The 27,550-nt window shown below is 33.8% G+C and overlaps 1 long non-coding RNA gene across 5 annotated transcripts in view; it reads right to left on the reverse strand.

Moving 5' to 3' along the window:
* The window catches only part of LOC101928570 (uncharacterized), a 248,816-nt gene extending 222,544 nt beyond the window's left edge, over window positions 1–26,272 (reverse strand). For 2 of the 5 annotated variants that reach the window (XR_001744207.2, XR_001744205.2), the window contains exon 1: window positions 25,429–26,263. This is a non-coding gene — a long non-coding RNA (uncharacterized LOC101928570). Of the gene's footprint in view, window positions 1–25,428 lie in introns of all 5 variants that reach the window. The other 3 variants (XR_241864.5, XR_007059650.1, XR_001744206.2) reach the window with 3 other exon arrangements.
* Window positions 26,273–27,550: the final 1,278 nt, after the last annotated feature.

The raw sequence follows: 27,550 nt of genomic DNA on the forward strand, positions 1-27,550 counted from the left end.
CGTTAACATTTTGCCAAATCATATATATATATACATATATATATACACACACACACACACACAGACACACATCATATATGTATATATGATATATATATGATATATGTATATATGATATAGGTATATGTTAGATGATATATGAATATATATACACATATATGTATATATATATTAGTTACTAGAAAATTATCAGATTAGATTTTTTTAATATAATTTTTAAATTATAACTAATGAAACTAAAAGTAAATAATATAGAGCTGATGAGAATAAAGACTGGAATGAATTATATTGCACAAATAGTAAATAAAATCCAGTTTCATTGGACAAAATATACTTCAAGGAAAAGTTATTGATGGGAAATCAGAGATACAAATAACATTAATAAAAAGAAACAAGAATGATATAAAATACTCACTATACATTTATTAGATCACAAACAAAATCTCATGAATTTTCTCCAAAAAATCAGTATCATAGAGTCCATGTTCACTGCCTGCAATTCAGTGTGATTAGAATTCAAAACAAAATGTTTGCTAAAATATAACATTCAAAAGCTAAAATGTTAACTTTAAATAATTCATAAGCTAAAGTGGAAATCAGGAAGACATTACAAAATATTTAAGCTTGAAATAAACCAAAAGTACAATAAAATGCTTGAGTATTACAAAATTAGGTAAGAACAATATTTGAATGTTAAAAGGCATTTGAAGAACAAAATTTTCAATTCTAGTGATTAGACATAAAATCAGCAATAAAATAAGCCCATTTAATCACAATAAGGATATAATTATAAAGAAGAGTAGTGATTGAAATATGAAAATATATTTTAAAAAGAAATAAAGTTAATTAAAAAACGAGATGGAGAAAACAGTAACTGCAAAAACTCCTGGCAAATATGATTAAATAGAGTCAATCTATCCAGCTTCGTAGAACCTACATTGTAAGTGAAGTAAAATAAAATATCTAGTAAATAAGCCCTTGATTTAACTGTTCTTTGTATTCAAACCACAGCCTTTGCCCTTGGCAGGGCATGAGGTGAGACAGAAGAGCAAGTTCATTGCCTCTGTTTCTAACCAATTTTGTGTAAAGTTCACTGGACGTTATTTTACAAGTGACTGTATTGATAGATGCTTGCTTTTTAAATTCTTTCTACAGGTATTTCAGAAGGCAGTCTAACTAAGTGGAGATATAAACTCCCTGTTTCATACTCCATTTGGTTTCCAACACCTGCTCTCAGAAAAGAAGCTGATATTAACCATAGTGTTAAAAAATTTTATTCTACTCAAGGATAGCTCATGCAAAATTTGACTTCTATCAGTGGCATAAAAGGTTCAGATATAGTGAGGTTCAGGACAAGGCGGGGAGGTGTGCCTCACTCAAGGGAAATTATAATATACATGCAGACACTGGTTTATCTGGGCTAAGCCCAGAGTCACTGCCTCCTTCCCTAAAATGTGTCTCCAGGCACTCTCCACAAACTCAAAGACTATGGCCTTAAACTTGTCATGGTCTATCTCATCAGTTAAGAGTCTAATTAGTATTTGGCCTTTCTAAAGTCTATTAGGCAATTCTCTTAGAACACTCTTACACAAAGTCATTTTTGTTCTAGTTATCATCGGTTTTTGTTTCCGTTAACATCTTAGGAAGACCTTATGCTCATAACATTCCAGGAAATACTTTATGCCTCCCAGCAAAATTTGTTCTTTTATGGTTATTGAAGGACCTCTTAGCAAAGAAAATAAAGTAGATGACTAAGTGCAAAACATTCATTAAAGTGTTCTTCAAACATGTTTTGTATGAAAAAAATGATTTGGCTATAGAGAATGATTGGTATGTCAAGAATTTCATTTCAGGCAACAATTTTGTTATTAGAACAAGCTTCAGTTGTCTACACGTTGGTTTTGTTCAGAAGATGTAAAGCAAGATAAATAGAAAAGAGAACTTCGAATGCTGTTATCTGCCATGCAGGTCTTCCTTTGTAAGTACAGATAACAACAGTGCTAATATTTTTTTTCATTTCCTTGGGTGCTAAATCTCCTTCTCACTGCCCACGATGCCCTTTACACCGTAGCCACTGCTCCAGCAGCTCCAGAGACCTGAACAAATAATCAAGCCATTTGTCTCTTGGGAGGAAAAAATATACTCTTATCTTTAAACTCAGTTTCTTGCATGTCTTGCAAGGAATGACTGAAGTCTAAAGTGTTTCTTATAGTCCAGGATGCCTCAAGAATGAGTCATTTAAAATAGAGGCATTTTATCCTGCAGCCAGTTCTCTAGATAGGTGATTGCTTAAGAAACAATAGAAGGGGGAATGTTGGGAGTAGCTAAGTTCACATGTGTGCAGCAATACACTGCTGTCCCTAAGTGAAGACCCAGAGCTGGATTTCATGTGATGCTCCTGCAGCCCCACAAGATAAATGTAACTTCTGCATGCAGATTACAGTTTTACAGGCATGTATATGTATTCCATCAACAACTCTGGAATTTTCACAAGTGAAGCATTTCTTGCTCTCCTTACATAATTGCCAAGTATCATTTAAAAATACATCCCAGCATTTGAAATACAGAATTTCCATGACAGAAGAGACAGGTCATCATGGTTAAATGATATGATAAAAAGTGTCCCAATTCAAAAGTGAGAAAACCTGAATGTTAATTATAACCTTCTTAGGGTCTCCCATCTACAAAGAAGAGATAGCATCTGCACACCATGGGTGTTATAAAAATATAAGGAGTGGGTATAGGAAAGGGCACTTTGAAAAACATGGACTGTTATAAAAGCAGTGACACCCAAACTTCAGTGTGCATCAAGATTTGTTAAAACATAGATTTCTGGGTTCTAGTCCCAGGATTTCTGACTCAGTGGGTGTGGGTTAGGGCTGAAAATGTGCATTTCTAAAGTACCAGGTGATGCAGATGTTGCAGGTCTGGGTAGCACACTTTGAAAATAACTGATATAAATCAATTGCTTTCAAGCTACATTCAACAAAGCCTGAGAACCCTAGGGGGTATCTAGAGGGTCTCACATAAGGGTCAGCCAAGAAATGTTTCAATGGGCAAGGCTGGAGTCTCCTGGTTCAGCGTTTCACTCTCAGCCTGGACCCCCACGAATCTCTGCTTCAAACACAGTAGCTAGTCATGCTTTTTTTTTATATTTGCCATTATTGGGGCTATAGGTAATACTCTATTTAAAAGAAGTGTTAAAATAATGGATTTGAAAAAAGTTTATCAAAGTGATAACACAATGAACTGTACATCTTTTATATCTTATCAAAATTGTAATGGTGTTTATAAATTATCTGAGTAATTTGATCAAACAGAATACCCGAATTAAATATTATGACCTCAAAATCTGAAAGTTTTGAGTTTGCCTCATTTATCTTTCTTTCCCTAAGTATTTAGGACATTCTAAATTGTTTTAAGTAGGGATGTTGAGGCACTTCTGCAGAAATGGCTATTTCCATATTTGGGGCAAGAAATGTACAAGACAAGCCTGGGAAATCTTAGTTTACCAGGAAGAAGAGTTTTCAAATGACTAGTCAGAGTCATGACATGCAACCTAGGAACCAACATGAAGGGCCTGCTACTAGTAATGTTGGACTAATTTTGTTATTAAAATAATATTGATTGCAATTGATTAAAATAAATCATATATAAAATTACTGTATTGTTAAATTATTTTTTAAAAGTCCCTATTGGACAGCATTGCTGACTACTAGTGCACCAATTCATTAACATTAACATTGAAAAATAAAGGAAAATGTTCAAGCATTTATTCTATAATTACTAAATGGCTTGATTTTCAGAATAACCAATAGAAAGTGAGGAAAAATTGTTCTTTATAGAAAAGGTTCAGCTTAAAAAATGCAAGAAGCATGATAGAATTAGAAAATCACCCAAAGTAAGCTAATGGCCCCAAGACATAATTATTAAATGGATTCTAAAGGTATTAAGTGAAATGTTAATGAGAAACTTTGTGGTATAAATTAGGTTAACCCCACCTGTACCCACTGATCAACTTCAGCATTCACTAAAAACACAAGAACAAGACATTGTGTTTCAAGATATCCTTCAAGGGGAAGTTGAAAGCATCCACCCATATGGGACGTATTTTTGCCAAATAATGTGTCTGAATCTAATCACTCCTCCACATCTAACTACAAGTTCACGGAGAATAGAAGAAAAATTAATTACATCAAAGGAAATGCTCATCCAAACGTGGAAATTGAAGCATTCCATTGAATAAGAGAACTGGTTTCTCCAACATAGCAATGGCATCAAAAGTAGGGTGTGGGCTGCACATTTGGAGTTGAAACAGAAACAAATCACAACAATGAGAACTTAATTTGATTCTAATTTGACAAACAATTATCTATAATCATATGTTTGTGGAAAATTGGAAATATTTTAATATAGACAAGATGTTGGGTATTAGTAATGGAATATTATTAATATATGTGATGATGGCATAGGAATTATATATACTCTTAGAAACCATTACGGGCCCCAAAGAGCGGAGTTGTTAAATTTTTTTAATTGACAGATGAAATTGTATGCATTTATTGTGTCCAATAGGATGTTTTGAAGTATAGGTACATTGTGGAATAGTTAATTCTAGGTAATTAGCAAATGTATTGCCTCACATAGGTATTACTTTTGTAATGAGAAAACTTACATTCATTCTCTTTGCATTTTTTAAGAATAAAATATATCATCATTAACTATAATCACCATGCTTTCATAATAGAGCTCCTGGCCTTATTTCTCCTACTTTACTGTAATTATCCATCTTATGACCAACTTCTCTCCATTGTCTCCTTCCTGCCAACCACCCCAGCCTCTGGTAAATTCCATTCTATTTTCCTACTTTTATGAGATGAACTTTTTAAGACTCTGTGTATAAGTGAGATCATGTGGTATTTGTCTTTCTGTGCCTGGCTTATTTCACTTAACGTAATACCCTCCAGATTCTTCCATATTGTTGTAAATGACTGGACTTTATTCTTTTTTATGGCTGAATAGCATTCCATTCTGTACACATACCACATTTTCTTTACTCATCTGTTGATGGACATTTAGGTTGATTCCCTATCTTAGCCATGGAGAATAGTGCTGCAATAAACTGAATGTGCATGTATCTCTTTGACAACTGATTTTATTTCCTTTGAATAATACCCAGTAGTGAGATTGCTGGGTCACATGGAAGTTCTATTTTTACTTTTTTGAGGAACCTCCACACAGTTTTCCATAATGGCATAATAGTAATTTCTGTACTAATTTACATTTCCACCCACAGTGTGTAAAGGGTTCCTTTTTATCCACATCCTTGCCAATACTGGCTATCTTCTGTCTTTCCACTAACAGCCACTCTACCCGGGGTAAGGTGATATCTCATTATGGTTTTGATTGGCATTTTCTTCATAATTAGTGATGTTGAACATCTCTTCATATGCCTGTAGGCTATTTGTATCTTCGTTGGAGAAACGTCAAAGAGCTTTTTTATAACATATGAGTTATATCTATCAATATTCACCATATTAGAATTAATATACACATTTAAACATATTTACTTATAAATTGTTTTTAAAATAACAGGCTGGACTCAATGGCTCATAACTGTAATCCTAGCACATTGGGAGGCTGAGGCAAGAGCATTGCTTGAGACCAGAACTTTGAAACCAACCCGGGAAACACAGCAAGACCAAGTCTCTACAAAAATTTAAAAATTGATGTGGCAATGGACTCCTGTAGTCCTAGCTGCTCAGGAGGCTGAGGCAAGAGTATCGCTTGAGCCCAGGTGTTCAAGGCTGCAGTGAGCTACGATCGTGTCACTGTACCCCAGCATAGGTGTCAGAGTGAGACCCTTTCTCAAAAATAATAATAGTGCTAATAATAATAAAGACATTATATGTTAATATAAATAACATAGATTTTGTTCTAAAAAACTATTTTCTATAAAATTGTTCAGGAGAGTAACATTGCTTTATTAATGCATTTGAAAATTTCTTTCATTTTTCTTAAGAGAAGAAAGTTAGATTCTTATATCTGTTTCTTTATCCAATGTACTGCAATATCTTGTTTTGGTTGAAATATATGAAGAAAATGCAGCCTTACAAAAACAACTACTTAGAAAAGGAAGGAGTATTTAATAACCTTTTCAAATAACTTTGAATATTCTTCTTTGATGTGACACCAAGATTTTATAAGTATTATTCCTTAAATATTAGTTGCAGTATAGAATCTGAATCTATATGATCATTTTTTATACTCCCTTTCATATTCTATTATAATAAAATCCATTGGTTCATCTTGCATTATAATTTTATTTTAAAATTTTTAATTATTACAGGTATATAGTAGGTGCATATACTTATAGATGAACTATTTTGAAATAGGCATACAAATCGTAATAATCACATAAGGGTAAATGGGTATCTATCACCTCAAGCATTTATAATTTCTTTGTGTTATTAACATTCCAATTATACTCTTTAGTTACCAGCTTATAATTTAAATGGTTATATTTTCCATGTCTGATTTTATAAAATCAGACATTGGCCATTTGAGAAATGTTGGTTCACCAAATTACATGGTTCATCTAAATGTTGGCATGTTTCATCATATAATTTCAAAATATCACATTTTAAATATTACAACATATATTAGAAAAGTCTTTACATATTGGAAAGCCATGAAGCTCATGATGGTGGATAAAAATTTTCCAAAATTCTGATTTTTGCTTGAAAATTTAAATTTTATAATTGGCAATAAATATTGTCTGTTTTTTCTTGACCTGATGAGCTCTTTTGTTTGTTTCCCAGAAAATTTGGCCTAATATCCAAATGTTTCAAAGCACGTTTGTCTGTCTATCATTCTTTCAAGTAAAGGTAATGTCCAATTTTTTATAAAGTTGCTAATTTCAGCTCACAGATCAAAAAATTATACAAACGCTTCTTTTTTTTCTGAAACAACCATTCCGTTTTGCCAACTGACAGAAGCGCTCTATTCAAATCACCTCTTTTGTCACACAAAATATTAAAGAATAGTGTATATAAAGTCAGAGATTTAACACAATTAATGTATTATGGCTCCACTATGAGCATTTTTAAGTGAAACTATTTTTATGTTTTTAAAAATATTTAACTATGAGTGGATGACAGTAAAGAAAACAATGATTACAGGAACAGTTTAGTACTAGTGATTTGACTCTAGGCCAAGACATTCTCAGTTTTATTTACCATTGCTTCTGCAACATCAGTGAAAACGTCAACACAGTGAAAAAGGCAAATAACTTAGTATTATTATCAAAGCAATGTTTGACCTCATTGTCTGCATGGGAAGCACTAGTCTTGTTTAAACTTCTCTTGATTATCTAGCAAATATATGAATAAATGTCATCAGTGGAAAATGCTATTGTAATCAAAAGTTTTTTTTTTTTTTTTCTAAACAACCCTTCCCTACACTCAATAGTTTTCATAAAAAGTAGTTAGGTTTATACAGAAATTGTTAAAACAGAACTTTGATCTAGAATTTTAAGCTTGAAAAGAGCTTCTTAGAAGTTTTATTAACATGCAAAATTAATTATTATGAGGCTTCTTTGACAAAAATAATAAAAAGCTGTGAGCACAACAGGGTTTTTCTTTGTATAAGATTTGCTAGGTGGGAAACATGCTATGAAGGTATAAGTTGCTTCAAAGTATCAGTTACATGTTTCCCACCTAGCAAATCTTATACAGAGAAAAGCTGATATGCTCACAACTTGCACATCAATGAATTCAATATTATCTGAGATACATACAAAGCTAGCCCAAAAATGTAACCTGTATCTCAGTAGCAACATGTAGAGAAAGTGAGTGTTTGTAGATACAGAAGCATTTTTTCTTCTTCCTTTGAGTCTATTTTCCTCTTTATAGAGAACATCACTGAGCATTACTGAAACTGTCTACTGTTTTTAATTTTCTTCTTTATCAACTTCTCACCAGCTCTGCAGACCCAAATCTAAATACTACTTTTATATCATTATTTCCTCTATTTTTTCACATATGGATTTTTATTCACCTACTCCTTCAGAAATTGACAGGTTAAGAAAAATAATTGAAGAAACATGTTAAATGAAATTTAATATAGAAAAGTAGCAATGGAGAGATTTCATCTATTTTATGAATTTCTAGGAATTAGAGACAGGAAGTTTCTGATAACCCAAGTCCTTTATTTACCTCTAAAAGTTTCACAATAGAGGCTGGGTGCGGTGGCTCATGCCTGTAAATCCAGCACTTTGGGAGGCCAAGGCGGGTGGATCATGAGGTCAGGAGATCGAGACCATCCTGGCTAACACAGTGAAACCCCATCTCTACTAAAAATACAAAAAATTAGCTGGGTGTGGTGGCGGGCGCCTGTAGTGCTAGCTACTCGGGAGGCTGAGGCAGGGGAATTGCGTGAACCCCGGAGGTGGAACTTGCAGTGAGCCGAGATTGCGCCACTGCACTCCAGCCTGGGGGACAGAGCCAGACTCCGTCTCAAAAAAAAAAAAAAAAAAGTTTCACAATACAAAGAGAGGTAAAGAACTGACACAAGATAGACAGATGTGCAAGATATAAAATAAATACCCTATGTCAAGTGTTTACAAGCATTTATAAAGTTTATACTTATATAATTAAATTAAATAAGTCTTATTTTTTAGAAATATGTGTATTGAACCCAAACACCTAATTCCAAATCCTCTTTTCTCTACTTTGTTTCACTCACTCATTCACTTTGAAGAATTTCTACCCAAAGCTTTAGGTTTCCTTGGTAATATAATTAACATAGTAAACATAATGCATTTGTATTATGGAATGAAACATATTTCCTTGCATACTAATTAAGGATTCATTTATTATTTCTAGTCACAACAGAATGAAAAAAGATTTGGCCTCTCAGACCCCACACCATCTGCATTCCTAATGACAACAGAAATCATGTTGGCACATTCAGAAGGGCAAATCCTTTTAGAAATATGTTTTATTTTGGCAGGCAGCAATGTGATTAAATAAAATATCTAAAAGTATATGTGCCCTCGCAGAAACACTTTTTCTAACACTATTTATAAAGGCATAAATAACTGGATAGTAAATACAAGTGCATTGTATAGTCAATGTGTTCTGTTTCTTTATGTTAACTTAAAAGAATTAAGCATAAACTCCAAGAAGTTTTTCAGTTGGATAGAATAATTTGATAAGAGATTATACTTCTCTTAGTTATATACTTAATAAAACTTACTGGGGGATAATTTTTTCTAGCATTTTCTACATTGTCACTGATCTTTAGTGGCCACTCTATTTTTTTTCTTTTCTTTTCTCGAGTTATTGGGAAACAAAAGGAAACAATTCAAATACACCAGGTACTATCACCTAATACCTTTCCCTTGACTCTTTCGAATTCACACCTGTAATCCCAGCTACTAGAGATATATTACTATGTCAAGAACTGAACTCCTTTAGTCCTTTGCTCAAGTATTTAAATCCATAGAATAAGTGGAAGAAATTTTCTCTTGATTCTACTGGTCCATTTACCTCAGGCATTAACCACTTCAGAAGTTGCACACTAAGGATCACTAACAGTTAAAAAGCATCCTTCACTTGAGTCACTGAATATTGCTTAGCCTCTTATTGGTTAATGTATTTAATCACTACATGTCTATCTTTGTTTTGCCTTTTAAAATATTATTACAATTAGTGAGGCATGTAGGCTACCTGCCTCTCTGATAAGGATTTTCAACATCATAACAGTTCTTAGATATGAGATAAGATCACTTGAGAAATATTTAAAATAGAAATGCCTCCCAAAGAGGAACCTCTAGAAATGAGACTTGGCATAGGTATTATTAAAATTTCCCCATATAATCCTGATGCACATCTCTAGTTAAGAAACAGTATGTTCATTCTTCAGTAAAACATTCAAATGCTTTATTGTGTCTCGTATTTCAATTAACAATTGTTTGTGAATATTGCTAGAGGAATCTAGAATTATTAATTTGAATAGTGCACTTAGCTCTTTAAGCAGATGTTCTATCCCATTATGTTTTCCAGACTGCATTTCAACATTTACTTTGGATACCTTTTATGGTCAATGGTTACTACACATGAGACAATATAAGGTATAACAGCAGGAAATAAGTTTTGTTTTGTTTGTTTTTAATTTTAATTTTTGTGGTTATATAGTAAGTATATATATTTATGAAGTACATGGGATATTTTGATACAGACATACAATAAGTAATAATCACATCAAGGCAAATCAGGTATTCAACACCTCAAGCATTTATCCTTTATGTTAAATTCAATTACACTCTTTCAGTTAAGTTTTAAATGGACAACTAACTATAATTGACTATAGTCACTCTATTGTGCTATCAAATACTAGGTCTTACTCATCCTTTCTATTTTTTGTACCCATTAAACACCCACACTCAACTCCCCCACTATCCTTCCCAGTCTCGTAACCATCTTTCGACTCTCTATCTCCATGAGTTTAATAGTTTTGATTTTAGGTCCCACTAGTAAGTGAGAACAACATGTGAAGTTTGTCTTTTTGTCCCTGGCTTATTTCACTTAAATTAATGACCTTCCATTCCATCCATGATGTTACAAATGACAGGATCTCATTCTTCTTTAGAACTGAACAGTACTCCATTGCATATTAGTACCACATTTGCTTTATTCATTCATCTGCTGGTGGACACTTAGATTGCTTCCAAATCTTGACTATTGTAAATAGTGCTGCAACAAACATAAGAGTGCAGATATGTCTTGGATATACTCATTTCCTTTCTTTTGCATATATAGCAGTGGAACTGCTGACTCATATAGTACCTATTATTTAGGGTTTTTTGTTTGTTTGTTTGTTTGGGAGATGGAGTCTCACTCTGTCACCCAGGTTGGAATGCAGTGGCACAATCTCGGCTCACTGCAACCTCTGTCTCCTGGGTTCAAGCGATTCTCCCACGTCAGCCTCCTGAGTAGCTGGGATTACAGGCGTGTTCCACCATGCCTGGATAATTTTTTATTTTTAGTAGAGACAGGGTTTTGCAATGTTGGCCAGGCTGATCTTGAACTCCTGACCTCAGGAGATCCACCCACCTTGGCCTCCCAAATTGCTGGCATTACTGGTGTGAGCCACCATGCCTGGCCTCTTTTTTAGTTTTTTAGGAACTTCCAAACTTCTCCATACTGGTTGTTCTGATTTACACTCTCACCAACAGTATACAGGGTTCTCTTTTCTTCACATCCTCGCCAGCTGCTGCTCTTGCCTGACTTTTGGTTAAAAGCCACTTTTACTAGGATGAGATGATACTTCCTTGTAGTTTTGATTTGCCTTTTTGTGATGATCAATGATGTTGAACACCTTTTCATATGCCTATTTGCCATTAGTATGTCTTCTTTTGAGAAATGTCTATTCAGATCTTTTACCCATTTTAAAATCTGATTATTATTTTTCCTATCATTTGTGCTTCTTATATAGGCTGATTATTAATCTCTTGTCAGATGGGTAGTTTGCCAATATTTTCTCCCATTTTGTTGGTTGTTTCTTCATGTTGTTTGTTCATGTTGTTGATATTTTTTCTTTGCTGTGCAGAATCTTTTTAACCTGATGTGATCCCATTTTTCCATTTTTGCTTTGATTGCCTGTGCTTATGGTGTATTACTCAAGAATTATGTTTGCCCATTTAACTGACCTGGAGAGTTTCTTCAACATTTTCTTGTGGTAGTTTCACATTTTGAGCTCTTAGGTCTTTAATCCGCTATGATTTGATTTTTGTATATGGTGAGAGATAAGTGTCTAGTTTCATTCTTCTGCGTATGGACACCCAGTTTTCCCAGCACCATATATTGAAGAGACTGTCCTTTCCCCGATGTATGTTTTTGGCACCTCTGTCAAAAATGCATTGACTGTAGATATATAGATTTGTTTCTGGGTTCTCTATTCTGTTTTGTTGGTCTACGTGTTTATGCCAGTACCATGCTACTTTGCTTACTGTAGCTCTGTGGTATATTTAGAAGTAAGGTAATGTGATTCCTCCAGTTTTGTTCTTTTTGCTCAGGATAGCTTTGGCTATTCTGGGTCTTTTGTGGCTCCATATAAATTTTAGAACTGTTGTTTCTATTTCTTTAAAAAATGTCACTGGTATTTTGATAGGCATTGCATTGAATCTGTAGATCGCTTTGGGTACTGTGGACATTTTAACTATATTGATTCTTCTAATCTATGAACACGAAATATGTTTTCATTTTTTTCTATCCTCTTTAATTTATTTCACCAGTGTTTTATAGTTTTCATTTTAGAGATCTTTCACTTCTTTGGCTAAGTTAATTCTAGGTACTTAATTTTATTTGTGGCTATTGTAAATGGAAATACTTTCTTGATTTCTCTTCAGATTTTTCACTGGTGGCATATGGAAATGCTATCGATTTTTGTATGTTGATTTTGTATCCTGCACCTTTGTTGAATTTATCAATTGTAATAATTTTTCAGTGGAGTCTTTAGGTTTTTTCAAATATAAGATTATATCATCAGCAAGGATAATTTGACTTCTACCTTTCCAATATGGATGCCCTTTATTACCTTCTCTTGTCTGATTCCTGTAGTTAGGACTTCCAGTACTATGTTGCATAACAGTAGTGACAGTGGGCATCCTCATCATGTGCCAGATCTTAAAGAAAAGGCTTTCATTTTTTCCCCATTCAGTAGGATACTAGTTGTGAGTCTGTTATATATGGTTGTGTTATAATAAGGTGTGTTCTATACATCCAGCCTTTTTTAGAGTTTTTATCATGACCGAATGCTCAATTTTGTCAAATGTTTTTTTCATGAACCATTTAAATGATCATGTGGTTTTTGTCCTTCATTCTCTTGATGTGACTGTATTGAACCATCCTTGTATCTCTGGGATAAATCACATTTGGTCATGATGAATGAACTTTTTAATGTGTTCTTGAATTAGATTTTCTAGTATTTTGTTAAGGATTTTTGCATCAGTGTTCATCAGATATATTGTCCTGTAGTGTTGTTTTTTTTTTGACATGTGTTTATTTGGTTTTGATATTTTGATATCAGGGAAATACTGGCCTCATAGAATGAGTTTGGAAGTTATTCTCTTTGCCTCTATCTTAAATAATAATTTGAATAGGTTTGGTATTTATTCTTCTTTAAATGTTTGATAAAATTCAGCAGGGATGCCATTGGCTCTCAATATTTTATTTGCTGAGAGACTTTATTATGGCTTTGATCTCATTACTTGTTATTTGTTTGTTCAGATTTTAAATTTCTTCATGGTTCAATCTTGGTAGGTTGCATGTGTCAAGGAATTTATGCATTTCTTCTAGGTTTTCCCATTTATTGACATATAGTTGCACTTACTAACCTCTAATGATCCTTTGAATTTCTGCTGTATTGGTGTCTTCTTTCTCGTCTCTGATCTTGTTTGTGTGGGTCTTCTCTGTATTTTTCTTAGTTAATCTGCCTATTGGTTTGTCAATTTTATCTTTTTTTATAAAAAATTTATTTCATTGACCTTTTGTATTGTTTTTTCATTTCAATTTCATTTATTTCTGCTCTGATCTTTATTATTTCTTTTATTCTACTCACTTTATTATTTATTTTCTTCTGATCTTCCTTTTCTACTTCTTTAACATATGTCAATAGGTTACTAATTCAGCTTTTCTTCTTTTTTGAAGTAGGCACTTATAGCTATAAACTTTCCTCATAGTATCCCTTTTGTTGTATCCCATAGGTTTTGGTATGTTGTGTTTCTATTATAATTTGTTTCAAAAAATTTTTCAATTTTCTTCTTTGTCTTTGCATTGACCCATTGGTGATTTAGCAGCATATTGTTTAATTTTCATGTGTTTGTCTAGTTTCCAAAATTTCTCTTCTTATTGATTTCTAGTTTTATTCCATTGTGGTCAGAAAAGATACTTGATATTATTTCAATTATTTTGAACGTTTTAGGGCTTGCTTTGTGTCCTAGCCTATGGTCTGTCCTTGAGAATAATCCATGTGCTGAGAAGAATTTTTATTCAGCAGCCATTGGATGAAATGTTCTTTAAATATCTGTTAGGTCCATTGGGTCTATAGGGTAGACTAGATTTCATGTTTCTTTGCTGGTTTACTGTTTAGATAATCTGTCTAATGCTGAAAGTGGTGTGTCGAAGTGCCTGGATATTATTGGACGTAGTTCTCTCTCTCCATTTAGCTCTGTTTAGCTCTAATATTTGCTTGATATATCTGGGTGCTCCAGTGTTGGGTGTACACATATTTATAATCATTATATCCTCTTGCTGAATTGAACCCCGAATCATGACATAGAGTTCTTCTTTTCTTCTTTTTCTTGTCTTATATATAATTTTTGTCTTGAAAGCTATTGTGTCTGCTATAAGCATAGCTACTCCTGCTCCTATTTTTTTTTTTTTTTGGTATCCATTGGCATGGAAGATCTTTTTCCATATCTTATTTTCAGTCTATGTGTATCTTTATAGGGGAAGTGTGTTTCTTGTAGGCAACAGATCACTGGGCCTTGTTTTTTATCCATTCAGCCACTCTCTCTTTTGATGAGACAGTTTAGTCCATTTACATTCAATATTATCATTGATAAGTAAGAACGTACTGCTGTCATTTTGTTATTTATTTTCTGGTTGTTTTATGGTCTTCTCTTCCCTCTTTTTTTCCTTCCTCTCTTTCTTTCAGTGAAGGGAATTTTCACCAGTGATATGATTTAATTTCTTAATTTTTATTTTGTGTGTATCTGTTGTATGTTTTTACATTTGAGATTACTATGAGGCTTGCAAATACCATATTATAAGACATTATTTTATACTGATGACAACATAACACTGATTGCAAAAACAAACAAGCAAAAAGAAAATAAATAAAAATTCAAAATATCTTATTGTACTCCCCACTTCTCTCCTCAAGCCAAAGGAAGGTGTCTCTTTTGGAGCCGTGAGCTTTGCTGCCTCGGTTTGGGGAAGGGGTAATATAAGCACTCCCTTGACTGCCCCACTGGTGTCTCACCAAGTCATGTGTCCCCCAGTTTCACTGGCTCCCAGCCCAGCACAGCACTAGCACTTGTCCATGAATTGCAGACTTTGTAGTCTAGATAACCTTTTATGTTTATTTAGAACCCCAAAGCACTGTAGCCTGCATGTTGAATCTTGCTAAAATTCAAGTTCCAATTGCTGGGATGGGTGATTCCCCTCTAGTTAGGGTTGGGCTAAATGCTCTCTCTGTGGGGAATGGCTGATTTCTGCACAATGTTGGCAGCACGGTGTTCCAATGCAAAGTCCCACAATTCCTGCACTCTCACTGCCCATGTGCCCAGATTATTTATCCATGCCATGCAACTGCTACTGGGGATGTTGGAGGAGAGGTGACCTTGGTGATTCAAGACTGTCTTTTCTACTCTCTCCAGTACCTCTTTCAGAGACATAAAGTGAAAATCAAGTACTGTGATCACTTGCCTGAATTGGTTCTTGGCTTTCTATATTTGGATAGTTGTTAAATTTGGTGTTACTGTGGGATGAGTAGAGGCTTCCATTCAGCCATCTTGCTTTACCTCCTCAGAAATGAGTTTGTCTTGCTAATTACTGGATCCACATTTCTTAGCCCAGTGTAAACTTATAAAGGAAGCTCAATAAATGCCGATAAATGAATCATAAACTTTCGTATAACAGGCCATCCACCTTTTGGTAAGGGTACGCCTCAATTCAGCAAGAAAATATACTATTTCTAAAACACATTCTATATGTTATGATTTGCACAATGGCTTGTGACTTGCATAAATGACATCCTTTGTAACTATTCAAATCATCATTGAAATACAGGTTATCAGACTTGCCCTACTTGTGTAGCAAATCCACAGTTTATGTAAATTATAGGAAAGGCAAGATTCAGTCACTCATTAAGTCTTTCAATTTAAATCCCCCTCTCATGTTTGTGAAGTTTAAACCAACCTATTGCTGTAATTATGGATGCTCTCTTGAAGCAATAGCATGAAGGTTTTGCAATTGGCCTTAGGAACCTCCAAGGAAACTGCTTGGAATTTTTGTTGCTTGTTTTGTTTTGTTTGAGACAAAGTGACTTACTCCGTCACCCAGGCTGAGTGCAATGGCATGATCGCGGCTCACTGCAACCTCAAAATCTTGGGCCCAAGTGATCCTCCTATCTCAGCCTCCTGAGTGGCTGGGACTACAGGTGCACATCACAATGCTGGCTAAGCCTTGGAATTTTCATCATCCAACATCATCCACGAGAGAGTATTAAAATGGCCAACATGGTTTCTCATCTGTATGGGTATGTGATTTTATTTAAATATATTCTTCTGGATTCTGAGAATCAAATCAACCCTTTATGTTTATAATGCCATTACTTGTAAAATCAATAAGTAATATTCATTTTGCAGGTTAACAAGGACAGTCCCTTTGCTTTTAAAGTATACATTTAGTATGTATTTCCATCTTAATAATAAAGATTTTCTTTGCATGTTGGAAAGTCATAGATTTGTTTTTTGTTTTTTTAATGTAATGAGATTCCTTAGTTACTTAGAAACGTTTTTCATATCTATATCATGATAAAATAGTGTACAAGCTGGAAGATATATTTATAATAAGTATAGATATTACTATTAAAACATATAGCTGGACATGATGGCTCACATCTGCACTCCTAGCACTTTGGAGGCCAAGGCAGGTGGATCACTTGAGGCCAGGAGTTCGAGACCAACCTAGACAACATGGTGAGACCCTGTCTCTTCCAAAAAGACAAAAAAAAATTTGGCTGGACATGGTGGTGCATGCCTATAATCCCAACTCCTTGGGAGGCTGAGGCACAAGAATCACTTGAACCTGGGAGGCAGATGTTGCAGTGAGCCAAGATCTTGCCACCGTACTTCAGCCTGGATGAAAGAGCAAGACTCTGTCTCAAACAACAACAACAACAACAAAAACAGACCAAGGGGACATAATGTGTGAGAGCTATCCATTTAGCCAATTAAACAGAATGAGTTGTTGGTGGTTCAGATGTTATAACATGTCTAACATATAATATTCCTTGATTAAGATACAAGACCTCAACAAATAATATTCTATCAGGATTTCTAGGAGGAACATCTGTAAAGTTAGTAGAGCACATGCTTATAGCATAAAGAAATGTTAAACAGTCATGAAATTCACCTTTAACAAAAGAATGATGTAAAATAGTTTAATTCAGACCGGATTAGCATTTGGAGGTTTTATGGAAAGGAGACTATAAAAGAACTTTGGAGAGTGTAACTCAGCTGGCCAAAAGTTGTTGAGCTTTTTGTTACTTTGTTTTGTTTTGTTTTTTGTTCCCCCAAAGATTGTAAGGTTCCTATAGCATACAGATCTTATATACTAAAAGGCCAAGCTTGAAAAATGCTGATAAGAATTACATTAATTAGGCTGACACAATTACAGGTTATAAACAAGATGAATATGCTTAAATAAGATTAAAACAAATTGTAAGATATGTAATGAGTTTATCATGATTTTCCAGTTTCTGGGTAAACTTTTTTTTTTTTTTTTTTGAGATGGAGTTTCGCTCTGTCGCCCAGGCTGGAGTGCAGTGGCACGATCTCAGCTCACTGCAAGCTCCACCTCCCTGGTTCATGCCATTCTCCTGCCTCGGCCTCCCGAGTAGCTGGGACTACAGGCACTCACCACCACGCCCGGCTAATTTTTTGTATTTTTAGTAGTGACGGGGTTTCACCGTGTTAGGCAGGATGGTCTCGATTTTCTGACCACGTGATCCATCTGCCTTGGCCTCCCAAAGTGCTGCGATTACAGGCTTTATGCACAAAAGTGAGTACAGTTTAACATAGCTAGGCTATCCCAGATTTAGAGGATTTCTCTTATGTTTCATTAATGAAGAAGAAGGCAACTTCCACTTCCAGCCATGACAGAGTAACAGGGACTGATATATTGTCCAACTCTAAACTGGTAAAATATATGAGATAATTTTCAGACATTGGACTACAGTCAACATAGAGTTGTGATACTCAGAGGATTTTGGATTCATAATCCTTCATTTAAGGAGTTAGGAAAGAGTAACAATAGTTACAAGAAAGATGAAATAACTATTTAAAATATGTTTCCCTAAAATTTTCTGTGTTACTATGCTGGGTGTAATGTCAGTGTTTGATATTTGTGCTATATGTTCCCTGTTAATTAAAAACCAATGAAAACTTATGGTAAATGTACAACTCTAAAACTTCAGACATTCTTAGGATAGTGGGAAAGATGGTGTGTATTATAAGAAAATCTGTTGATGAACTGAGAACTTTCCTCAGAAGATTCACATTTTAATAATGAAAACTAGTTATAAGCGTCCAAATACCTTTAGTGTAATAAGCACTATAATAAAACGATGTACAAAGTTTTATGAAAGCCAAGAACAGGCAGAAAAAAAGCTATGTCTGACCTATGACCTTACAGATTTTGATGTTTTAGATGGAGACTGAAATATAAGTGGGAAATTCCTTAACAGAGAAAAATTTTTGTTTATTTTGTATGCTTCTATTAAACAAATGTCTAGCAAATGAGTATTATTTGTTGAATAAAGAAATAGATGTTGTGGAATGAAAATAGGTAAAATAACATGGAAAGAAATAGGTATTATTTCACTAATAATACCTAAGGGAAGATTATGTCTGAAAGGCAGGCTAATCTAGTTGATTAAGTAATATTAATAGTTAAGTAATACTGTCTTTTAAAGTAATTCACTGACTACCAGAAGAGTGTCTTTTAGGGCAGCCAACATAGTTCACATGTAGGAAAATAATAGCCCACAAATAAAATTTTCACACTTTCTGCTAAAATTAGGCCATAGCAGAAAAGTCTCACACTCTTTCATTTGAAAAATTATTTCAGAAGCAATGATTCTCTAAGCTAAATCTTCCGTTAGTATCCATGACAACCTTATTTTCATCCAAATAAAAATGGACATTCATTATCATCATGGAAAATGGGTATAATAGCAACAATGCTAGGATAGAAATTGGGATAATTGGGATTTAGTTTAACCTATACATTAATAATTAACATGGCTTTGAACAAACCCAGGTCTCATCTTTTCATCTATAGCATGAGAAGGACTACACAGTCTTTATGGCCTCTCTCCAAATCAGATATGCTGTGACCTTGGTAAACATAGAATAGATCATTTTTTCTTGATGTTTCAGATGTGCATTTTCAGGTTTTTTATATGTGTTATTGTGTGCACTTGCACGCCTGTAAATGTGTGTTTGTGTGTGCATAGTATACCATACTTCTTGTCTCAGAAACAAGAATATAACCAGTTTAGGTAGGAACTTCTTTGACAGGCATGTATTTTCCTTTAATAAATAAACCACACTTCAGGGTATTAAACTAACTCCCAGGTTTCGTGTACCTAGGCCAATAAATATGTCAGCTCTATCTTGCTGTTGATGTCAGTTATACTTTTATTTTCTAGTTCTTTCTAGTTAATAGACTAGTAAGTCAGTGAAAGAATAAATAAAACCAAGACCAATCACCTGAAAGAAGAATAGTTTTCAGAATTTTGTCTGTGTGAGTCTTAAATTTATAATTGCATTTTTTTTCTGCTAAGACCTATTAGAAGTTCAAAAAATACATGATGAATAGGTAGGTATTTCAATGAAAATATGTTAAGTTTGATGTTGATAGAAAGAAGCAGTCTTAGTATCAAAATGCAATTGCTTTGACCAATGGCAGATGAAATTTTCTTAGTACATAACTTTCTCTTGCTTTAAAAAATTTTTAATCACATTAAAACATTCTCTTTAGAAAAGGTTAAGTGGTATAGAAATAGACAAAGCAAAATAGGAGCCTCTCCACTACCAACTATTGCTACCACTTCCTTTACACAGGTAAGCCACTGCCAGAGATCCAGTATGCTTTCTGCTTTCTGTCAGGCCTCTCTATGTGTACAGATTTATTTTTATACATAGATTTCACATGTAAATTAAAATCATTGTATGTATGCTATGCTTCCTATGTAATTATTATAACTTACATGTCTTTTTGTGTTGGTACATTTAGGTTCCTCTCATTGTCTCTAACAGATACAAGAGTGTGACTATGCCCATATTTCTGTGTTCTCAACAAAACGTGACATTTTCAAACTTAAAATATGTATTAATGTTATAGATGAAAACAATCTCACTTTTTTAAATTCTCAAATACAACTGTGATTCAGCACTTTTTATATGTTTATTAGACAGTCGTATTCTCTTTGTGAATGACTGATGAAAGCCTTTCCACATTTTTTAATTGAGATCCTTGTCCTTTTAGTCTCTATATATTCTGCATAGAAATCCTTTTCAGTTAAATGTATTGCACAGATTTTCTTCTAGTTTGCTAATTGTCTTTTAACTTTGTATGTAAAATCCTTATTGATCTACTGTGAACTTGCATGTCATCTGATCTAGCATTCTTTCCTGTGGCTGCTAGGTTATGTCTTACTCAGGGAAGCATTTCTCATTTTAAGATTATTTTTCAGATTAATGTTTTCTTTAATTTTGTTTTAGTTTGTTTTTTGTGTGTTTTACACTTGGTCTTAATTCACCTGGAGTTATGTTTTGTCAGGGAATGAGGTAGCATTGCGTCTAACCTGTTTTTTCCTCCAGATGAATAACCCATTTTTCTAATTTAAAATAATGTATTTTCTCTGACCCACCTGGCAAGCCTAGTTTAAAATTCTATATATATCATCAACCAAATTCTTATGTAAAAATATCTCTTTATGAATGCTATTTAAAGCAATGTTTTTCTACTTGTCTTTTAATGTCTCAATATAATTTTTAAAATTACTATAGCTTTTAGGTATAATTAAGTATATGGTAATGTAGGTCACAGCACACTGGGATTTTTTTCAAAATATTAGCATTATTTTGCAATTTTTCCTTATAGAGTGATTTTAAATTTTGTCAAATTTTATAAATTATCCTCCTTGCATCCAGTAGAAATGACATTGAATTCATAGAATTTACATTAATAGTAAGGCTCTTTAATTGATTGATTTGCATACCTCCCTCGGAAAAGTTTTTTTAATAAAGGAACAATTCTTAGACTTATTCCTATGTGTTTTATTTTCTTGCAATAGTAAAATAGATTGATTTCTTCTGTTCCTGAATAAATTCTGATGTATTTTTAAGCAGAAGAAGTTCTATTTATTTTGGATGTTGATCTTTTTTTAGCTACCTTAATAGACTATCTTATGAGTTATAATTTTTTAATTGATTTACTTAGATTTTATAAATAAACAGTAATAGTGCCTTCAAATAGTTACAAGTGCTTTTCTTTTTTTTCTCTTGTTAATCTCCAGTGAAATACTGAATAGTAGCAGTGACAATGGGCAATCTTTTCTTACTGTACAGTCTTTGTTGAGAATATAATTAATTTTTTACTATCACATATGTTGCTTAGTGTAGTTTTGTTTTTACCTTTATACTGAAATAGAGACTGTGCTTGTGCCCTTTGCTTACTGAAGTTTAAATCTGTTTAATTATAACTAGGTGTGAATATTATCTAAAGCTCTTTATATTAAGCCTTTTTGCAATCCTGGACCAAACTCTACTGTGTCATAATGTTCTCTCTCAATTTCTCTTTGCAAACACACTAGTTTGCACTATCCTTGGAATAAACTAGTCTTGAAGTGGGATAGTACTGCAAGGACCTAGAACCTTAATCTAATCTGTTTGAAGGGCCAAAAAAAATTGTATTCATGTCTCTTAGTCTCTAAACTTCAACTCTATTAAAAGATGCTTGTGGTGGAAAGTCATCATTTTGCTGTTGAAATACAAAAACAAGTGTAACGAGACAGTTATCTAAAACAATCAGATGCTTTTGTCTTATATGTCAAATGTAAGTGCACTAGTTTTGGGAATCTAACTTTCAACTAACTCAAATATCAGGGAGGCTTTTGCTAAAAGATTTTTGCTTTTTCATAAGGGGCAAATAAAACAATATAATAATTTTTTTCCTCTTTTTCTATGTTTCTTTAAGATTTATTTAACCCTTATCTATAGGTTCAGACTTTTACACACCATTAGTTTGTGAGTAATAGTCCTAAGAAGATGAATTAAAGAAATTCTACACTAGCAGCTCATCATCATTATTTCGCCTCATTGCAAGTTGCAAGTCCCTTATCCTCAATTACACTTCTCTCCTTTCAGTAGATGAAGGGCTGCCCTAAAATAAAGACCCTCTAGTTTGGTCCCCAGTGATTTTATTCCCTCATTGTAATTCATCCATTTTGTCATTGGGTACATATTTATTGAGCAACTATTAGTTATCCAGTACTGTCCTCAGTGCTGGGGACAGAGTGGGGACTAAGGCAAGGTGCTCATCCTTATGACATTTGCATTATAGTGGGAGGAATGAGTGGGGGTGAATTGACAATAAGAAAATATATAAATGATAAAGATTGAAACATGCTTATAGAAAATAAAAAGAAATGATTTGAAAGACGGAGGAAGGCCCATCTGAAGAGGTAAAATTTGAAATGAGACCTGAATGGTAAGAAGGAGCTGTCCATGGTAAAATTCTTATGAAAGATGATTACCAGTAGAGGTGAAAGTATCAGCTATAGACCCAGGGAAGGAATGAGGTTGATAGATTCAAGGAATAGAAATAAGGCAAAGCCTCAGGAACCATATTTACTTCCTACTGAGCTCTGCCTATTCCCTTCCAATAGACACTTTGGAAATCATAACTTATTACAAGGCCAGACTACCCACTGGGAAGTGTCATGGAACACTAATCATAATTAAATGCAGCCTTCTTTCTGTTTTGTCATATTTTCATCATTATCTTAGCATATTCCTCATGATGCTAATTAGGGTCTGTTTTTTAGCTCTTTGTCTCCAGCACTGCACTGAGAAATCCTTAATCCTTAACTGAAGAGTCTGTCTTATTTAGTTGTGCCTTAGGCTCCTATTGGCTAACAAAGTATTTTTAACATAGTATTAGATACTAAAGAAACTCTTACATTATCCATTATTTTCTAATATACTCATATGAATAATGGTATAAAAATGTCGTGGAGGAAAATTAGGTAGTGTCAGAAAATATAAATGAGCCAAATGCAAAGATTATAGGATAAATATAATTTCTATAAAAATTTATATATTACAAAATCTCCATCCTTTAGTTAAATATATCTAGATTTCAGTAACTATGACGGGTGATCAAGAATAATAGAAAATACCACATTTGGGAAAGTATTTGCTCATTTGAGTGCAGCAAACATTTTGTAAGGCATTGCTAAATTTATAAGGTACATTTTGGTACAGAACATATTTTTGGGACCCATTGCAGAAAAATTCGTAGAATGGCAAGGGAAAATTCTAAAGGCGAACAAAATGTTTGAAAATATGTTCGAAAAAGAAATGTGGTTTATGAAAAAAAATAAATAATTATCTGGAAAAGAGACAGCAATCCCTCTCTTTTAACAAGAAAGAAGTAGTGGAATTTTGCCCCTTTTTGAGTTTTGTTGACTAGGTTTTATTGATTGACTTCAAGTAACATGTCTCAGATTGTAATTGACTTTGTTTATGTATATGCAGGGCAAATTGTAGTACTATTTGAATAAATAACATGGATTTTGTTTTAACCAAAAATTACTCATTAAAGTTATATCTCTCCAAGTGATTCTCAAAATTGCCATGACCCTTTCCTCCACCTTTCATATTTTTCTATATATTGCTACTTGTGGCCAGTAGGCTGAAACTATGCTTATTTTGAAATCAAATAACAATAGATGTCTGCATAGTATTCCATGGTGTATATGTGCCACATTTTCTTAATCCAGTCTATCATTGTTGGACATTTGCTTGGTTCCAAGTATTTGCTATTGTGAATAGTGCCACAATAAACATACATGTCCATGTGTCTTTATAACCACATGATTTATAATCCTTTGGGTATATACCCAGTAATGGGATGGCTGGGTCAAATGGTATGTCTAGTTCTAGATCCCTGAGGAATCGCCACACTGACTTCCACAATGGTTGAACTAGTTTACAGTCCCACCAACAGTGTAAAAGTGTTCCTGTTTCTCCACATCCTCTCCAGCACCTGCTGTTTCCTGACTTTTTAATGATCGCCATTCTAACTGGTGTGAGATGGTATCTCATTGTGGTTTTGATTTGCATTTCTCTGATGGCCAGTGATGATGAGCATCTTTTCATGTGTCTTTTGACTGCATAAATGTCTTCTTTTGAGAAGTGTCTGTTCATATCCTTTGCCCACTTTTTGATGGGGTTGTTTGTTTTTTTCTTGTAAATTTGTTTGACACGGATGAAGCTGGAAACCATCATTCTCAGCAAACTATCACAAGGACAAAAAACCAAACACCGCATGTTCTCACTCACAGGTGGGAATCGAACAATGAGAACACATGGACACAGGAAGTGGAACATCACACACTGGGGCCTGTTGTGGGGTGGGGGGAGGGGGGAGGGATAGCATTAGGAGGTATACCTAATGTTAAATGACAAGTTAATGGGTGCAGCACACCAACACGGCACATGTATACATATGTAAGAAACCTGAACGTTGTGCACATGTACCCTAAAACTTAAAGTATAATAAAAAAATAAAATTAAATAAAATAAATAAAATAAAATAAAAATAAAATATAAAAAAATAAAATAGATGTCTTACTTCAACTAAACCATGTAAAACCCAGTAAATACTTTGCGTAAACTGACAAGTCTTTAAAAAGAAAGTTTGTTTAAGTATGCCAGGCTGGTGGAAAGAACTTTGATTTCTATCAGAAGGACTAGATTTTACTTCCAAATCAGTTAAGAATAACATTATATGATCTTACAAATATTCTATCAGTTATCTTTAATCCACAGTAAAGTAAAATACACTTTATGTTTCCCTTTTATTTTATAATATAAATGATATCATTAACAACCTACTAAAGTTGCTATTTGCACTAACTTAGTAAAGCGCATCATAATGGCAACTAATGAAGATTGAATGCTTACAGTAAGTGAGGTACGGTAATAACAGTTTCACATACATAAAAATACATAATACATAGTTCCTTTTTTATCTTTAAGATTTACAACTGAGGATATTAAGGCTTAAAGTACGTTATTAATTTGCCCAAGGTCATGGAGCTAGTAAATGGCTGAGCCAAATTTCAGTTTAGAGTGTTCAATTAAAAAATATGCCCTTAAATGCTGTAATATGATTATCTTCGCTTTATGCTCTTTTATCTAATCTCCCATGTAATACATTGCACACATTTGCAGGAGAGTTTATATGATTTGAGAGTATAATAAGTGGCCACAAAACAGAATGCTTCTCTGTGCGTGGCTAACTGATCTATTCAGAAATAAAAAATGTAACATCCTCTATTCACCTGAGTTTACTGGTCTTGACTGCAGGAACAGATGGCACGCCAGGGACTATGCAATAGCACATAAACATTCTGGAATGGAGTAAATGAGAACATATGACTAAAAGCAACATTGCCACAGCTTTAGAACCAACTCTACGTTTTTCCTTCTCTTTCAGCAATTTATTTGCTAAGTGATTATATTATGCATGATATTTACAGACACATTTGGCATATTTTGACCATAATCATCATCATGAAAGAATGCATGCTTAGATCAACTGAATTATTAATATATCAAACTATTACTAATATTACCATTACAAATAATATTACATTAAGAATTTCATAAACATGGCAAATGTATTTCAACAATATTATTGTGTTTGGTACTTAAAAAGATTTGAAACAGCTCTTGTAATTATGATTAAGTCAATTATCCCCCAATTATTTGATAAATTTAATGTTATTACAATCAAGTTCTCAGGGCATTCTTTTTCTTGTAACAATTTGGTATATCAATATTTAGTTTCATCTAAAGAATAAAGAAGTAGGGGATTTCCCTACTACATATAAAATATATTAAAATCATAGTAATAAAATGTATGGTACTAGTATTTGAATAGATGTATTTCAAAGAGAATAGAAAATCTAGAAATAGATACTTAGATATATGGACAATTCATTATTATGATGGCTAAACTTGATTTCAGTGAGAATAGAATAAATTATTCACTAAAATATGCTGGGACAAATTGGGACAAATTGTTACAATAGATGAGTCAATACTGAATGAGAGTTGCTGTTGTCCCACAGTCTTGTCAGCATTTGATGTTAACAGTGTTTGGGATTTTAGCCATCCTAATAGGTGTGCAGCAGTTTTTTTTTTTTTTTTTTTTTTTTTTTTTGAGACAGAGCCTTACTCTGTCGCCCAGGCTGGAGTGCAGTGGCGCAATCTCTGCTCACTGCAAGTTCCGCCTTCTGGGTTCACGCCATTCTCCTGCCTCAGCCTCCCGAGTAGATAGGACTACAGGCGCCCGCCACCACGCCCAGCTAATTTTTTGTATTTTTAGTACAGACAGGGTTTCACCATGTTAGCCAGGAATGATGGTTTTCTTATGCCCATATTAGCCACCTGGCACAGCACATACTGAAACATATTTTATTCTTAAAGGGACAAAATCTCACACAGTACAGTTTTTTTCTTCCAAGAAGGGACTCCAACCAGATCTTCCTGCTTTCAGTCACTCTCCAGTGCTCTCAGATAGTTATTTTAATTTCGTGTCTAGAGTTTGTGGTTGTTATTTGTCCCAATAGGAGCTATTCCACCATTGCAAAAACTGAAAATTTTGAAGCAATGTTTTCGGTAGCAAAAAACTGCATATAACCCAGTGTCCACCGGCAGTGGTACGGTTACATAAATTGTGTTATAATCACAAAAAGGAGTGTTAAGCAACCCTAAAAATGAATGAGTTATAGCTATATCCCACAGCATAAGTGAATGTTATATAATATTTGGTGTTAGACATATTATGCCACTTCAGAAACAATATATGATAATCTTTATGACTAAAGAGAACACCGGCTTAATACTACACATTCTAACACTGCCATCGGTCCAAAGCAGGGATCAGCAAACTCTTTTTGTAAGGAGCTAGATGACAAATATTTCAGACTTTGCAGGCTACAGAGTCTTTGTTGCAACTGCTTACCTTCATCAAAATATGAAATCAACCATAGACAATACACCAATAAATGATTGTATTGGGCATGGCTGTGTTCCAATAAATTTTTATCTTCAAAAACAGGCAGGGGGTTGGATTTAGTCCATGATCATAGTTGCCGATCCTTGTTCTGGATGATTTCCAAGAGCACCTCTGAGCTACTACAGAAAAGCTTTCTGCAGTTTTTAGATATATTTTAAAAATATACTAAAATATACCACAGAAAAGCTTTTTGTAGTAGTCAGAGACTCAGTCTGCTTTGATCCTTTGGCACCTCAGAATCAGGGCTTCTCCAAGATCACAATATCATTTTAAAAAGAGCACTGGAGGCAATTTTATACCAACAATTGTTGCAGTCCAGAATTTATACACACTACTTCTGCTCAGGGTCTGTTTCTCAAAATTGACCCTGTGTTCCAAAC

This window comes from Homo sapiens, chromosome 6, assembly GCF_000001405.40.
Source record: "Homo sapiens chromosome 6, GRCh38.p14 Primary Assembly".
In the NCBI taxonomy this organism is placed as follows: domain Eukaryota; kingdom Metazoa; phylum Chordata; class Mammalia; order Primates; family Hominidae; genus Homo; species Homo sapiens.